General features: G+C 39.9%; 1 protein-coding gene and 1 long non-coding RNA gene across 7 annotated transcripts in view, besides 1 other annotated feature; one reads left to right on the top strand and one right to left on the bottom strand.

Moving 5' to 3' along the window:
- Nucleotides 1-16,280, top strand: part of PTPN14 (protein tyrosine phosphatase non-receptor type 14) — a 202,903-nt gene that overhangs the window by 124,619 nt on the left and 62,004 nt on the right. For all 6 annotated transcript variants that reach the window (NM_005401.5, XM_017001941.2, XM_024448759.2 and 3 more), the window contains 2 exons: nt 12,258-12,355; nt 15,233-15,300. In NM_005401.5, the coding sequence (NP_005392.2) occupies nt 12,258-12,355; nt 15,233-15,300 (166 nt within the window). The remainder of the gene's footprint in view (nt 1-12,257; nt 12,356-15,232; nt 15,301-16,280) is intronic.
- Nucleotides 6,871-7,433: an enhancer, noted in NCBI's record as "NANOG-H3K4me1 hESC enhancer chr1:214592894-214593456 (GRCh37/hg19 assembly coordinates)". NCBI's record gives its function as "activates a minimal SCP1, AML or CMV promoter by ChIP-STARR-seq in primed H9 embryonic stem cells {active_cell/tissue: H9 hESC(primed)}" and the evidence as "EXISTENCE:reporter gene assay evidence [ECO:0000049][PMID:30033119]".
- Nucleotides 7,012-9,826, bottom strand: LOC124904508 (uncharacterized). The gene is made up of 3 exons (XR_007066875.1): nt 9,738-9,826; nt 8,005-9,279; nt 7,012-7,630 (listed from the first exon to the last, which is right to left on the bottom strand). It is a non-coding gene; the product is annotated as an uncharacterized LOC124904508 (long non-coding RNA).

Here is a 16,280-nt window from a genome sequence, read left to right as displayed (position 1 = left end):
TTTAGGAGAAGCCTGCTGAGATTTTTTTATTTTATTTTTGTTTTTAAAGAGAGAATTTGAATACCTACTTAGTACTTCTCTTCTGGAGAGTGCTCTCCTTTGAATATGGCCTGATGCCCGCAGGGTGTGCCCCGTACAGCCACTGACTGCCCCACACTGGCATCTTCCCTGGGCTTCACGCCCCTGAATTTTTGGTTCCTAAAGAGACATTTAATGCGCTCCTATTCTGGTTTCTAATGAGAGAGTTTTAAGTTCTTAAGTCTAGGATGAAAAGGAGGAGTGTGTTTGTAGCAGCCTTCTTTCATGAAATGAAAGAATTGAAGAATTTCTCTGATTTGGGAATTATAGTTCTCTGCTTGGCAATCCTCCATCCCTCTACCCATGTCCTAAACAAAAGGTTTCCTATATTTATGTGTAGTTACTTGTCACTTTGGCCATCATTTTTTTTTTTCTCTAGGAAGTTACAGTTTCTAACTTAAAGTTTACTATGTGTCAAGAGTTATAAAAGATGGTCTTGTAGAAACTAAGGCAATTAGAAAACTAAAACTCTAAAAGAAGAAAGGATGTTCAAAATGATTTTTAAATTGCATTTAACAAATGAAGTATCTCCTCCTTTAATCCTAGAGCCTCAAGAAGGGTTTGAAAGGAAGAATTGTAGAGAGACATTTCCATGCTTGAAAATATCAAGCATGATTTTGGCAGAAATCACAGCATAGGAAGATACTAGATTCTTGGGCAGTGAGATGTTTGCTGGTTTGGTATTTTATCTCTGGCAGTTGTTGCCACATTTGATGTCTTCAGCTGCTTTGAAGATTCTGCAAAAGAAAATTATTCATTTCTAACATTAAAAATTCATTATGTTGTCAATGGATTCATGTTGTGATCTGTTTATAGCCTTCTGTAGTTTTTTTCTCTTCTTCCTTCCTTTTTTTTTTTTTTTTTTTTTTTTTTGCGATTTATGCTCCAGATTGTAGAAACTATAGACTAACCTACTACACAGGCACAATGTTGTAATAAAAGAGCACTTGACTGTAAAATCAGAAGACTTGGCAAGTCACCTACCCCCTGGGAGCCTCCGTTTCCCCGTGGATAAATGGGATAGTGGCTATCTTGCAGGGTTGTTGCGAATATTAAATGACAGGAAATATTATACATGACAATTCTTGGAAAACAACTGCGCAAATGCAAAGGGCTATCATTGTTAATAACTATTTGAAGGCTCTGATTTCTTAATATCTAGAGAAATTGATAAAAATTCCAATTGTGGAGAATTCAGTTCTTCCAAAGCTTTTGATAGACATGTGGTGTGTTTTTATTATTTTTTTCATAGTACACTAGGAACAACGTAAAGTTTCTTTCAGCCAGTATGTAATTGACTGTCTTTTAAATATGTGGCCATAATAATATCCTGCTTTAATGTGAATGCATAGTAAGGCGGTCTGTTGGGGGAAATACAGACATGAACAAGGCAGTCTTATAAAACAGCAAAGGAGGCAAAATAGATGCACATAATTAAGTTGTTTGATCAGTACCATGTTAGAGTTACAAAATCAATGGGAACACAGAGGGCGGAATGAGTTATTCCAATTTGTTGACTGGGGAAAGGCTTTATATTATGTAATACCTAGAGTGTAGGTGATTTTGTTTTTTTCTTTCTGCTGAGTCCAGTGTTGTTTTATGCCACCTATTTGGGTGGCTAACTTCCAGAAAAGCATTCTTTTTTACCCACTGGGTGTCTCTGAGTCAGTAAATGATCATAATGCTTTTTGTGCAACTACCAAGTCTAGGATCATCTACTGAGTCTGTGAATTGTAGAATAGAGAGAGGTGGTTCCCGCCTTCAAGGTACTTCTGGGCTAGTAGGGTGCTAAATAGAGATTGATGGGCTGGATGGACCTGGTGGCCCATGGCTGTAATCCCAGCGCTTTGGGAGGCCGAGGCAGGTGGATCACTTGAGGCCAGGAATTCGAGACCAGCCTGGCCAACGTGGCATAACCTCTGCCTCTACTAAAAAAAAAACAGAGATGGATAGGCATGTTATCATTACAAATGCATAAAATCTTTAATATTAAATTGCTGTGATTGGGGAGAGGCTGAACATGGATCATAGTGGCCACATGGAATGTAGGGTGGGCGGGCCGGGCACGGTGTCTCACACCTGCAATCCCAGCACTTTGGAAGGCCAAGGCATGGAGATCGTCTGAGGTCAGGAGTTCAAGACCAGCCTTGCCAACATGGCAAAACTGCATCTGTACTAAAAATACCAAAAATAAAAAATAATAAAACAAAGTTAGCCAGGTGTGGTGGCACACACCTTTAGTCCCAGCTACTCGGGAGGCTGAGGCAGGAGAATCACTTGAACCCGGGAGATGGAGGTTGCAATGAGCCAAGATTGCATCACTGCACTCCAGCCTGGGCAACAGAGCAAGACTCTGTCTAAAAAAAAAAAAAAGAAAGAAAGTGGGGTGTCCCACTCAATTGTCTCACCACAGGTCCATGCTATGGAAATTAAAGTCATCCAGCAGGATCTCCGAATTATCTCTCATATTGCTGACTTCTGAGCAGATAGCCCCTATTTTGCTATTTCTGATAAACATTCCATCCAGCTTTTGTGTTTGTTTGTTATGTCTGTGTTTTCAAACGTTCTTTTAATATGGGTTACTTGTGTGGTACTCTGATTTTTTTTTTTTTTAATAGAGTCTCACTCTGTTGCCCAGGCTGGAGTGCAGTGGTGCAATCTCGGCTCACTGCAACCTCCACCTCCCAAGTTCAGGCAATTCTCTGCCTCAGCCTCCTGAGTAGCTGGGATTACAGGCGCCCGCCACCACACCCAGCTACTTTTTGTATTTTTCATAGAGATGGGGTTTCACCATCTTGGCCAGGCTGGTCTTGAACTCCTGACCTTGTGATCCACTTGCCTCAGGCTCCCAAAGTGCTGGGATTACAGGCATGAGCCACCGTGCCCGGCCAGTACTCTGATTTTTTGTTGTTACTGTTTTGTTTTGAAACTGAGTCTCACTCTGTCACCCAGGCTGGAGTGCAGTGGCGCGAACTCTGCTTACTACAACCTCCGCCTCCCAGGTTCAAGCGATTTTTCTGCCTTAGCCTCCCTAGTAGCTGGAATTACAGGCGTGAGCCACCATGCCTGGCTAATTTTTGTATTTTTAGTAGAGACGTGGTTTCACCATGTTGGCCAAGCTGGTCTTGAACTCCTGACCTCAAATGATCCACCCACCTCGGTCTCCCAAAGTGCTGGGTTTACAGGCATGAGCCACAACGCCCTGCAGGTACTCAGATATTTTTAAGCTGTGAATATGAGAAAATGCGCCTTCAGTGATTAAGAGAGCATGGGGTGAGTAGGGGCACCTGCAGTGATGAAGCACGAAAGCCTAGAAGCCAGCAATTAGAAATTTTCAAAATTTAGACTGGCCAGTAAACAAAGCATCAACCAAAGTTTAAAGTTAGGCTTGGCTGGCTCTTAGGGACAAAACTTGGAAAGTGGGCTCATGGTTACAGTGACAGAGATGCTGGAGTAAGGAATGTAGATGGCACTCCCATCCATACAGAGTCTGTGGTCACCGGAAGTGTGCCTAGCCATATGACTTAACATGGGCTGGGAATTTCTTTTTCTTATCTTTCTTTTTTGGGGGGTGTTGCGGGGAGACAGTCTCATTCTGTTGCTCAGCTTGGAATGCAGTGGTCCAATCACAACTCACCGCAGCCTCCAAACTCCTGGGCTCAATTGGTTCTCCCACCTCCACCTCCTGAGTAGCTGGGACAATAGGTGCATGCCATCACGTCCAGCTAGTTTGGCTGACTTTCCTTCCCCTCCCTCCCCCCTTTCCCTCTTCCCTTTCCTTTTTTGTTTCTTTTGGGTTTTGCCATGTTGCCCAGGCTGGTCTGGGCTGAAGCGATCTCCTCACCTCAGCCCCTCAAAGTGCTGAGATGACAGACATGAGCCTCTGCTTTTGGCAGGAAATTCTATTCTTTCCATTTTTGTCATAGTCTCGAGGGATATAGAATTAAGTATTTACTTCCATTGCCTCATTCGTTCATCAGACATTTATTAAGCACATAGTTTTCCTACTCATTTCTGGGACATTACTTCATCGACAGAGAGTTGACATCTTTTAGCAGTTGCTTACCTGTGAAAAGGTAGGGACTACCTTTAATTAGGGATTCTAGGGAAGAACTTGTGCCCATTCACAGAGATGATCTTCTTGCCTTTCATTTGTTGATTTTTATGTATTTTATCCTTCAGACCAGGCATATCAGTAATAACAGCACTGTATTTCCGCCTGGTAGCTCACCAAAGCTTCAAGGATGTTATGCAGAATCCTTAGCCGGGAACGTGGCCGTTTACCAGGAAGACAGATCTTTGGGCAATTGACTCACCCGGCTTCCAGATATAATTTGAGTTCCCTTTTCCCACAGTGAGTTGTAGGTAATATTATGAACACACGATTTTCAGGGCAGGCAGATATGTATTTTGAGCTGATGAGTCAAGACATATTTATTGCTAGTGTAAGAGGGATGAGGCTCCGTAGTTGACAGCTGCAATTTAGAGGAGTAGTTTTGGTTGGCCGGTTAGCATGGAGCATTGGTGTTCCCTGATCTGTGCTCCTTTTGCCCACCTGGTTTAATGCTGTTGGTCCCTGACTGTGATTCATCCTTGAGTTCTTTCTTTGCTGCATGGTGGCTCAGAGATCAGTTTAAGTCATTTAAAAATAAATAAACATTTCACACTGAATGAGTAGTTTTGCTCTTTGCATAAAGACAAGTTTCCCAAGACTTCCTGCTTGATGTGTGATGAGTTCCATTTCTAGAATTTTTAGGCGCTCTTTCATATTATAGAAATAACATCTAATAGCTTTGCTAGGAGGTGATTAATCTTCCTCCCTTTCTCCCTCCTTTCTTCTGTCTTTGTCTCTCTGTCAGTATTTCATCTACTCAGAAATGTTTATTGAGCTTCTACTTAGTGCCAGGTACTGATCACGACAGAGTTGGGGAGGCGCTGGTGCCAGTGCAGGAGAGGCCTGGGGGAAGTATAGTGGCGGATGTGAAAGGGTTCACTAACTTGTTGAGAGGGTTTGGGAAGCTTTTGGAGAGGAGATACATTTCCTCTGAGCCTTGGAGCATGGACAGATGATTGGGCAAATGGAGGATAGGCAAGGGTGGTTAGACCAAGGAAATGGCGAGGAGGCAGGAAAGAACATGGCAACTATTGGGGAGCACCGCACACTTACGACAGCTCAGGTATGGGGTGTGTGGTGAGATATGAAGTTGGAAAAAAAAATAGTTTTGACTGGATCGTGAAGAGCCTGGTGTATTGTGTCAAGAGTTTGGATTTTTTCCTGATTAGGATCATTGGGTGTTTTGTTCTGATTTTTTTGAGCTAAAATCCACATAATGTAAATTCACCATTAAATTTTTTTTTTCTCCTCACCCTTTCTTATGGTGCTGAGTAAATCCATCATTTTAACCACTTTAAAGTATACAATTCAGTGACTTTTAGTGTTTTAACAAAGTTGTGCAGCCACTGTCACTGTCTAATTTCAAAATGTTAGCAGGCATTCCTCAGCCTCTTCTTCCCTCAACCTCTGGCAACCATTCGTCTATTTTCTGTCTCTATGAATTTGCCTATTCTGGACATTTCTTATGAATGGAATCACACAGATGTGACTCTTTGTGTCTGGCATCTTTTACTTAGCATAATGCCTCAGAGTTCATCCATGTTACAGCATGTATCAATATATCATTCTTTTTATGGCTGAATAATATTCCATTGTTTGAAGAGACCGCATTTTGTTTATCCATCCATCAGGTGTTAGACTTTTGGGTTGTTTCCTCTTTTTGGCTGTTGTGAATAACATTGCCATTCATGTATCAGTTTTGGTGTGAACATGTGTTCTCAGTTTGTGTGGCTATATACTGAGGAGCATAATTGCTGAATCATGTGATAATTGTATGTTTAACTTCTGAAGGAACTGAAAAACTTTCCCAAGTCATTGGAGATTTTTAAGACAGATCAAAACAGACTCATTTCATTTTAACATCAAACACTTTAGCACAGTATTTTCTTTCGATGCTAACTATTTCTACTTCTGTTGGCATGTTTTCCTAATTCAGGGCATCACAGCCCTCAGCAGGGAACCATGTCGGGCCCTTTTAAATGCTATGGATTGATTGCTATAAAGAAATCTGTACCCAATAGCATAGGATAGGACAGAAAGAAGTGGTGTCAGGACATTCTCTCTCCCTGTATGGTGTATTTCAGAAATGAGTTTTTCTTTTCTAAACAGAACCCCTGATTAGATGATAGGCTACTATTAGGGAATTTATTATACTTATAAACAGTACTTGGATTCCCTGTAATTTGTTATAATTAATGCAAGAGTTCAAGAGCAGAAAGCAAGGATCAGGTCGTGGCATGTCTTTCTCTTTTGCAACACCTTGCTATCATTGGCTTTTTTTCACTAGTTAAGGCCTGTGTGTGTCTTTGTATGCATTTAAACAAATATTATCCTTTTTAGGAAATAATTGCAATCCTTTGGCTCATTGAAACTGAAGGAATCTTATTAAGAAGTTGGGTGTCTCTGGCAAAATAGGGTATTTATTGATCAATGAATGTTGAAAACTTCTAGACTTGAACGTTTGCCAAGAAAATCTTGTCTGTGTTTGGGTATATGCACATGCTTTTCTTCTCATGCATGTACATGTATTAGCTTATAGTATGAAAAAGCCTAGAAGAAAAACTTTCCCTTTTAAGGGTATCTTTGCTAGAGTTTTAGTTGTAGCTTTTCCTTTTGTTTGTTTGTGTTTTCCCCCTCCCTATGGGGTTATTTCAGTTTTGCATAGTTGCAGGAGTATTCGCTTTGTAGTTTGTTAGACAGTGCAGACTTTTAATTGACTGTCAACTTGAACAGTCATTAAATGTAAAAGCTTTTAGATAGTGCATGGGTCAGGTACCAAACGCATTATTAGACTTTAATAGTCATAAACTGAAATTCTTCTCAAGAGTTTTGAGGATAGAGGGATGGAGGGAGGGAGGCATTCAGGTTTATCTGGTTGCATGCCTGCATACATAGTATTTATCTGGTCCTGGCAGACAGAGAACAGCATGGGCCACCCTGTCCTTTATCTGGATTTACAGCTGTGAACACCCGCTGGAATGGATGGAATGTGTTGGTTCCTTCCTATGGGTATCTCTGTCAATCTAAGATTTTAAATTATTCCCCTTTGCTCTCCTGTACCCCAGGACTCTAGGACTACTTGTCTCTTTTCCCTCTTTTTTTTGTCTTTTATAGTAGAGAAACGTTTCCATTTGCAGAATATAACATCAGCCAGAAACCAATGCTGTCTGGCACTTTGGTACATGCTGCACTTGGGAGAACTGGGTTCCAGTACATTCTAGCAAGATTCCTCTGATATTGCTAGTTATGAAGAAAGTTTTCTAGTGAGGAAAGCACATTTTAAGTCTTACCCTGCTCTTCATAACAGTGACAGGACAATTTGTCTTTCCGGGTCCTGGTCTGGTCCTCCACTCCAGTAGTTTTATGGAAAGGCTTCAAAAAGTGAGGAATTTAAGGATGGCCCCTCTCTCCAAATTGTCACATCCCTACTGACCGTGCCTATGGGGAGAGATAAGTTGGTTTAACTAAATTTGAACTCTAGAGGAGGGAAGAGCAGACCAGGAGCCGTGTGTGATGATAATGATTCTGCAGGTTGGTAGTTACAGCTTACAGAGTGCTTTCACTAACCTGTTTTTCAAATTAGGAAAGAAAGTTTTCTTTCTTACTCAGACCTCCTTGAGAGTAGGGGGAGAAGGAGTAATGAATAGTTGATATGTGCTATTAAATTTGGATAACATTTTTTATGATCGATAATATAGAAGCTGCTCAGTGCAAACAAGTAAACGCCTGTGTGTGATACTGACGATGAATTGCATTTTACTTTTTAAAAATCTGCATTTAGAAATATATACACATAAGGGCCCAGTTTGTACCTGCTGTTGGACATAGCCACTCCTTCCAGATGGGAGCCTACAATCAGAAACTCTGGTCTGTAGATTTTACTTCTATCCCTCCATCCTTCTTCGAAAATTAACATGTAGTTAAAATGTATAACTCAGTCTTCTTTCCCTTCCTTCTATCTCTGGGGCAGAAAAGTGAAATATCTCAGAGGCTGCTGCCAGGAGAAAAAACAGATCTGAATAACCATTGGCCACAATATGAAACATGTCCTGTAATAGGATTTTTATGGAAAAGTTTCTCATTTCAACATTTGCCTCATATGCTGTAGCTCAGACTGTCTAAGTAGGGGTGGAGAAAAGCTTGGTGATTGAAGCCCTTCTTTAGAAGCATCATAAAAATCACCGGGTAGTGGTGTTTTATTTTCACTTTTATTTTTAGACTTCAGTGAAATTGGTGGTTTGCCCAGAATGGGCAGGGATCAGATCCTGCCTTCATCCCTGTGGTTGTTCATGCCCAGATCTGGTTGTGGCCATGTCTTTAAGGAAGCAGTATTACCTTGGACAAGTCATTCTCCTCCCTCAACACAGTTGCCTTCTCTAAGAAATGAAAGGATTGGACTGGGAATTTAAAAATCCTTCCCTTATTAAATAGCTTAGGCTCCATCATGCTGCAGTGATGTATGGCCCCCAAGCTTCTGTGGCTTTCACAAACAAAGGTTTATTTGCTGCCCACCTGACAGATCCACTGTGGGTCGTCTGAGGCTCTGTTCCCAGCTGTCTTTGCCCAGGGCTCAGGCTCACTGAGCAGCCTGCCCTCCCTGCTCACTGCAGGCCTCAGAGCAAAGGGAAGCAGAGGTGGAGAACCGGTCACTGGCTCTGGACACTTTTGCTTGGGAGCAACAATCACTTCCTGCTTCCATTCCCATTTCACTGGCCCCAAAGCTAGTCCCAGGAGTAATGAGGTAGGCAGGCATGACCCTGTTGGGAAGGCAGCAGACATTTGGAACCGTGGCAAGGGCCCTGCTCCTCCTGTCTTCACCATCCTGTGACTTACGCTGAGCATGTTGCATCCTAGGGTGGTAGTATGACCAAAATCAGATGCCAAGGCTTTAACCGTTTTACATGGCTCTCTCCTGTTTTGGGCACGTCTGCTGAACTGGACTTGGAATGAAGATTTCACTTGTGGGGAGGGGTGGGTGAAATATTTTAAAAGCAACACGTACCCGGCCTCTGAGTTCCTGGTGCCTTATTTGTAGTTCTGTGGTAATACAGCCCATGCTTTCAGAACACCACACGGACCTGCTCACTCTGAGAAGCATGAACAGAATTGCAAGTAAAACACAGTTGCAGACGTGCTGAGATAAATTCCTCATACATGAATTTAAAAGAGAGCATGAAGATCTTAGCAATTCATCTCTAAATGTTGAAGATATTGTTATGGGCTATAATTTTGAAGGGATCCTTTGATACTCTGTCAAAAGTACTGAAGGCTCTGTTGATTTGACCCAACAGGGCATTTTTTCAAACTTGATTTTTCAAACTCCTATGGGAGGAAGTGACTTGGATAAGTCACTTATTTTCTTACCATCGGATGAGGAGATTCTAGATAGATGAGGCCCCCAGAGACTAGGTCATAGCATGTTAGTTCCCAATAGATAACACTGATTATTAGGACGCCTTTTTTATTTCACCCCGACAAATCTGTATTTAATAAAAAGTTAATCTTTAAAAACAAAATTTAAAAATTTGAAAATACAAAATTTTACCTTCATTCGAGAAGCAAAATTATGTTCACCAATTCTTAGAGGCAGAGCAGAATCCTAACCTAAAACCATTCATTGGGCCTCAAGAGTCAGATGGACTATTTCCAGGTCTTTGAATATGAAAAATATTAAAAAGTTTTCCTTGTGAGCTTGGATTTTCAAAGAGGATCTCTTTGGAAAGTTGGCAAATGCTTACTTTCCTGGCATGAAAATTGTTGTTTTTTTTTTTCCTTTTCCCCTCCACCCAAAGCTATGACAGGGTGGAGTATACTTCCATGAAATTGCATGCTTCCAAAATAGAATTCACTGTTATATTTTACTACTGTTATAATTGAATCGCTAATGAGAAATAAGCAAAGAGCAGGCATTCTAGAAATAGAATTTCAACTCCTGTTGTCAAATTTAGTCATCATATTCGATAGAATTATAATATTTTATAAAACTGCCTTTTGTGCAAAATTGTACCAGCCAAACAATTTTCAAAGTGGTTTGAATTTCATTCTCGTTTCTGCAGTCTTACACAGTAGTACCCACAATCTCGTGGTAATAGCACCCTATCATTGCTGCTGTTTAGATTCTCTCCTAGTTTGGATGGCTTCCAGGAGAGAGCCCTGCTTGCTTCAGCTCCTTATTTTTATATTCCAGCAAAATCCTACACCCAACCTACATGATTAGGAATGTTCCTGGTGTTCCTTGCTAGTGGATTGTGAGTCACTGTTTCCTAGGATAGAATGGATCTGTAATAGAACTTGCTGACACATTATACAAATGGTAGCTGTAGATGAAAGTTGGAAGCAGCAGATTTTTAAGAACTAGAGCTGTTGTTTTGGTGGCAGATTAATTGGTTACTGGTCAACTCCCAAAGGTATTCTCTAATAAATAATCTTAGCTGATCATTTTCATCTCCAAGGTAACAGGTAACAAAGCTCTACCTCTGGCAGATGATGCCAGGTTAACACCTTTTCAGATGTTTTACTCCTTGGTTCTTAATCACTGAATCCTTAGATAGTACACTAGACAAAAACATGATCACAGCGATCAAAAAGATATGTGCATCCTTGTAAGGTGGAGACTGTTTTAGCACTCTCCAAGATACTACTCAGCATCTAGCAGACTTACACCCATAGAAAGTGCATGAATGATAGCTATGGGTTAAAATATCTGTTTGTCTTTCTGGCTTGGAGAGCAGCAAATAAGTCAAAACCACTCCAGAAAGATGAGAAGGAATGAATGGCATGTAGATGAGATTCAAACATTTTATAATTAGTAGGAATCAGTGAAATTTACCATTCTTTTCTACCTTGAGATTTTGCTTTTTGTTTTGCTTCGTGATTTTTTCTAGCCCATATTAGGTTTGACTAAAAAGGATTTTTAAGTAACTCCCAGTGTTTGCCCTTCTGATTTGAGTATAGGTTTTTCCCACCAAAGAGTGGTATGGCTGTCTTTATCCTGTTTAGTACACCCAAGAGGAGAGAAGAAGGACTCTACTGGAGCATGCACGGAGCCCAGTTCCTTCCCTCAAACAGGCATTGGATTGACTGATGTGTAATGATGCCTGTGACATCAACATGGTAGAGCCAGCAGTAATTAGCTCTCAGCGCCGATTGCCTCTCTCCAGGAAAGTTGGGCTTTGGTTCACTTATGGGTTCCCTTGATTGAGATGCCAAAGTGAAGTTAAAATACAGAGTTACAGTTACCAGGAGCAAAAGGATTGTTAGCATTTACCAGGAATTAATGCTAGAGAAATGTGATTGTTGTCGTTGTGACTATGTGTTGAGAGTATGGGCAAAGGAAGTGGAGTCCTGGGAAATAAACGTCTTGAGTGAGAAGTTTTCTAAATGTTTTAGGTAATTCTAAGAGGGCTATTTTATTGGTAGGGAAACAGTACACTGTATTAGCTCCTGAGGGCACTTGTCTAGTCTGAGACTTGATGTGTTTGGGCACGATTCTGTCCATCTGTACTTTGCTGGTTTGAGAATTTACTTCAGTTTCGAAAGTTGCATCAGATTAGATTTTTCTGATTCACAGATGTGTAAGGTGAAAACTGTATTTGATTTTTTAGTGGAATTACAAATTATTTGGCCTGTTTGTGATCTGCCTTACCGAACTTTTGAGTTTGAAAGGTGATGTGTTTCTAGAATGCATTCAGGAACGCACACTGTTGAGTGTAGCTTTGGCAGTCGTGTTGTCGTGGGTCTCCAGGTGTGCAAAAGTATTTTCATTCTCGGATTCTGTTATGAGGACCTGGTCCTTATCAGTGGTTTATCCCGCTGGCCTACAAATAAGTGATGTGATGAGAATCCTCTCAAGCTCAGAATGAACAGGATGTGGCACCTGCTACATCAAACAAAGATAAACACAGGCAGAGGTCACTTTCCATCTTTTATAGAAATGACCTTTATCAGCATCACAGGCATGTCCTGCTGTGTACACAAGGTTTTACATCTAGAGGCATCTGTGTTGTGGGAATATATTCCAAGTATGTGTTTTTAAGGTTGTTTGTTCCTCTATTCCCATGAACAGATATCAGTATTACCTGCAAGTCAAAAAAGATGTGCTTGAAGGGCGATTACGATGTACATTGGACCAGGTGATTCGGCTAGCCGGCCTAGCTGTGCAAGGTAAGACATAGTTATGAGCAGCATGTGAAATTCCATTTTCTGTTTGATCATGGTGTTGCTGGCCTCTCAGAGTGAGAAGTTAGATTTACTTAAATGATCCCTTAGTAATGCTCCCTTTTTATTTCAAGTTATCTTACGTGAAAAATGCAAAGTTAGTGATTTTTGGTGGCTGGGTGGTAGATTTCTCAAAGCTGTTTGCAAACTGCTCATGCTTGTATAATTACAGTTTTATATGAGGAAATAGCAGCTTTTATTCTGCCTTTAATTAAGGCTACATTTCAGGGTTTGTGGAACATTTTCTCAGAATTATTCCAAGGCACAATGTGGTCATATTCTGTAGCTTGATGCTGCAAAGGTGTTACTATCACAACTTCTTTGAGTGTGATAGCTTTAAACATTATAGTATAATGCATTCTAATGCAATTAAAGAGGTAGATTTAAAATCCATGATTGTAACATGAAACAACAAATGTGTATTGGACTGAATTTATCTTTCAATCCATCCTATAAAGGTTTATATTACATAGCTGTTTTTTGCCTTCTCTAAATTGTTATGTGTGGGACTTTATATGTATATTTTATACATTATGGTTTATTGAGTGGTGGCTTAACTGCCTTCAGTTATACTGAAAGCAAGATAGGCCATATTGAAAGCAAGATAGGCCAGCGCGGTGGCTCATGCCTGTAATCCCAGCACTTTGGGAGGTCGAGGCAGGTGAATCACTGGAAGTCAGGAGTTCGAGACCAGCCTGGCCAACATGGTAAAACCTTGTCTCTAATAAAAATACAAGAATTAGCCAAGCATGGTGGCACACGCCTGTAATTCCAGCTACTCAGGAGGCTGGAGCACGAGAATCGCTTGAACGTGGGAGGTGGAGGTTACAGTGAGCTGAGGTCACACCACCACACTCCAGCCTGGGTGACAAAGCTAGACTCTGTCTCAAAAAGTAAAAATTAAAAACATTTTTTTAAAAAAGCAAGAAGATGGTAATATAGTTTTTGAAAAGAAACTTTTCCTTTTAGTCATTTTCTTGAAAACCAGCTTATCTGCAAGTGTGAGCCAGCCAGCAGCTGGGTTCTTCCTGCATGGACTGTTGTTTTAGAAGGTGTGAACTGACTTCCCATCCCAAACACTGGGCTGAATTGAATCATCTCAGATTTAAGTGTCTGAAGAGGCAGCCCTTCTCCTGACCTCTTTCATTCTGAAGTATTAACAACTTAACAATTTCTGTTAGAAGTGTAATTTCTATACAGTTAGCTTCTGTTGTAATTCTGTGGATGGAAACAGGCAAAATCTGATGTATCACCTCTGTCTGCTTAAAGACTGGAGGGGAAGAAACAATGGCCAGTTATGATAGAGAAATCAGAGGTAGCATTGTTGAAATAATGGAGAAGATCAATATGTCCCTCATTGTCAAATTGGGTCTTTCTTCTTTTAAAAAGCTTTCGTTGGGCTGGGTGTGGTGGCTTATGCCTATAATCCCAGCACTTTGGGAGGCCAAGGCAAGAGGATTACTTGAAACCAGGAGTTTGAGACCACCCTGGGCAACAAAACGAGACTCTGTCTCTACGAAAAAAGTAAAAATAAAAAATTAGCCCAGTATGGTGTTGTGCACCTATAGTCCCAGCTACTCAGGAGACTGAGGTGGGAGGATCGCCTGAGTCCAGGAGTTTGAGGCTGCAGTGGGCTATGATCAATTCACTACACCCCAGCCCAGATGACAAAGCAAGACCCTGTCTCTAAAAAAGTAAATAAATAAATAAAAAGCTTTGTTTACTGCATGTACTCTTTCCTCTCACTACTCAATCATTAGGCTTATTGTGGGCATCCTGGATATTGGAGGATCCTCGAGGAATTTGGTGAACTTACTCTGGATTCCCTTTTTGTTGGGTCCTTGAAGCTAGCTGTTCAGTCTGATGAAACCTTCTCTAACTAATCCTTTTCAAATAACTTTTTTTTGAGAACGCTTATTGCATTTTTAGAAAGATACATCAACAGAAATATAAGTTGTGGTGGAATGTGATAACCAATTATTGAACTTGGAAATAGGCAGAGTGAGTGATGTTTGCTATTCTTGAATGCTGCACCTAATTGGTAATTTGTTACATGCTGAGTTTGTAGGTTGACGTTTATTTTTTACCTTCTAGCAACTTCTCAACATTGGTGCATGGTGTGTGTATCCTCTCATCCTATATCTCTTGTTACCTTAAAGATACCTGGATCCATTTCTATCTGATGCTAAATATTTTACATGAAATTAAAATTTCATTCAAGTTTAGTTTTTAGGAGAGCAAGCAAGATAAGAAGCAAGACTTTATATATTTCATTTTGCATGTGCTCAAACTGTACCACGGTGACATGAAAACAGGGAAAACAGAATTTTTGGCATCTTGTAACATGTGAAGTTATTTAGAAGGTGTAAAGATATTTGAGGTTGCTTGCCAAGGGTGATTTACAGTGGGAATTTCCAGCTGCATATATATGAAAAGATGCAGATGGGTTTGGCTCTTCAGTTCTCCAGATTAACCTTGAGTTAAAAAGTCCTCTTGGCAGATATTCTTAAGATATGAATTGATGCATATTTAACAAACAGATAGATATAGGTTTGTTTAAAATTTTTTAAATGGCCTTTAGGAATTGTTTTCAAATTTCTTCATTATTTCTAAAAATTCATGTAGTGGTGCTTACATGCTGATATTTACCATATTGTTAGATAAAAGTAACTATGTCAAACATATCTTGGCACTATTTTTATTTAATAATAGTGAGAAATAGGATGAAATGTGAAGAATAATGTAGTGATGAGTTTGCCCTATTTTATTCCATCTTTAATTTCATATAATAAATACTGCCCTTCCATCTTCTTTTCTTCTCAGCTGATTTTGGAGACTATAATCAGTTTGATTCTCAAGATTTCCTCAGAGAGTATGTGCTATTTCCTATGGTAAGTGTAATTTCATTTTTCTTAATTAATTTTCTACCTTCTTTGGACATTTAGTTCTTTCCTTTGAAAATTTCAGGATTTTACATATGCATATTCCCTGGGGAAAAAGTCGATGGGTTTATAAAGTAGGGGCAAGTTTTATAAAACACACTGAGAAGGTAAAAATGCCTTCTTCTGCCTCAAGACACTTCCCTAATTTCTTTTTCAGATAGTTTCTTATTAGTATATAAAAATGCTACTGATTTTTCTATGCTGATTTTGTAACCTGAAACTTTACTAAATTTGTTTCTCAGTTCTATCAGTTTTTTTGTGGAATCTTTAGGGTTTTCTACATATAAGATCATGTCATCATCAAGCACAGTTTTACTTCTTCCTTTCCCATTTGGCTGCTTTTTATTTCTCTTGCCTAATTGCTCTGGCTAGGACTTCCAGTACTATGTTTAATAGAAGTAGTGAGAGTTGGCAGAAAACAATCCCATTTACAATAGCATTAAAAAAAAATACCTAGGAGTAAATTTAACTGAGGAGGTGAAAATTCTGTATGCTGGAAACTATAAAACATTGATGAAAGAAATTTAAGATGACACAAATGGAAAGATACCCCATCTTCGTGGATTGGAAGAATCAATATTGTTAAAATGTCTGCCAAAAGTAATCTACAAATTAATGCAATCCCTATCAAAATTCCAACATCATTCTTCATGGAAATAGAAAACAATCCTAAAATTCATTTGGAGTCACCAAAGACCCCAAATAGCCCAAGTAATTTTGAGCAAAAGAACTAAGCAGGAGATACCACACTACCTTATTTCAAACTGTATATCAAAGCTATAGTAATTAAAACAATATGGGACTAGCAAAAAAATAGGCACAATGACCAATGGAAAAGAATAGAACACCCAGAAGTAAATCACACACATCTAAAACCAATAGATTTTTCAACAGAGGGGCCAAGAACACACTGGTGAAAGGGCAGTATA

This window comes from Homo sapiens, chromosome 1 (genome assembly GCF_000001405.40).
Source record: "Homo sapiens chromosome 1, GRCh38.p14 Primary Assembly".
Taxonomy (NCBI): Eukaryota; Metazoa; Chordata; class Mammalia; order Primates; family Hominidae; genus Homo; species Homo sapiens.
This window is presented reverse-complemented; position numbering and strand designations above follow the sequence as displayed.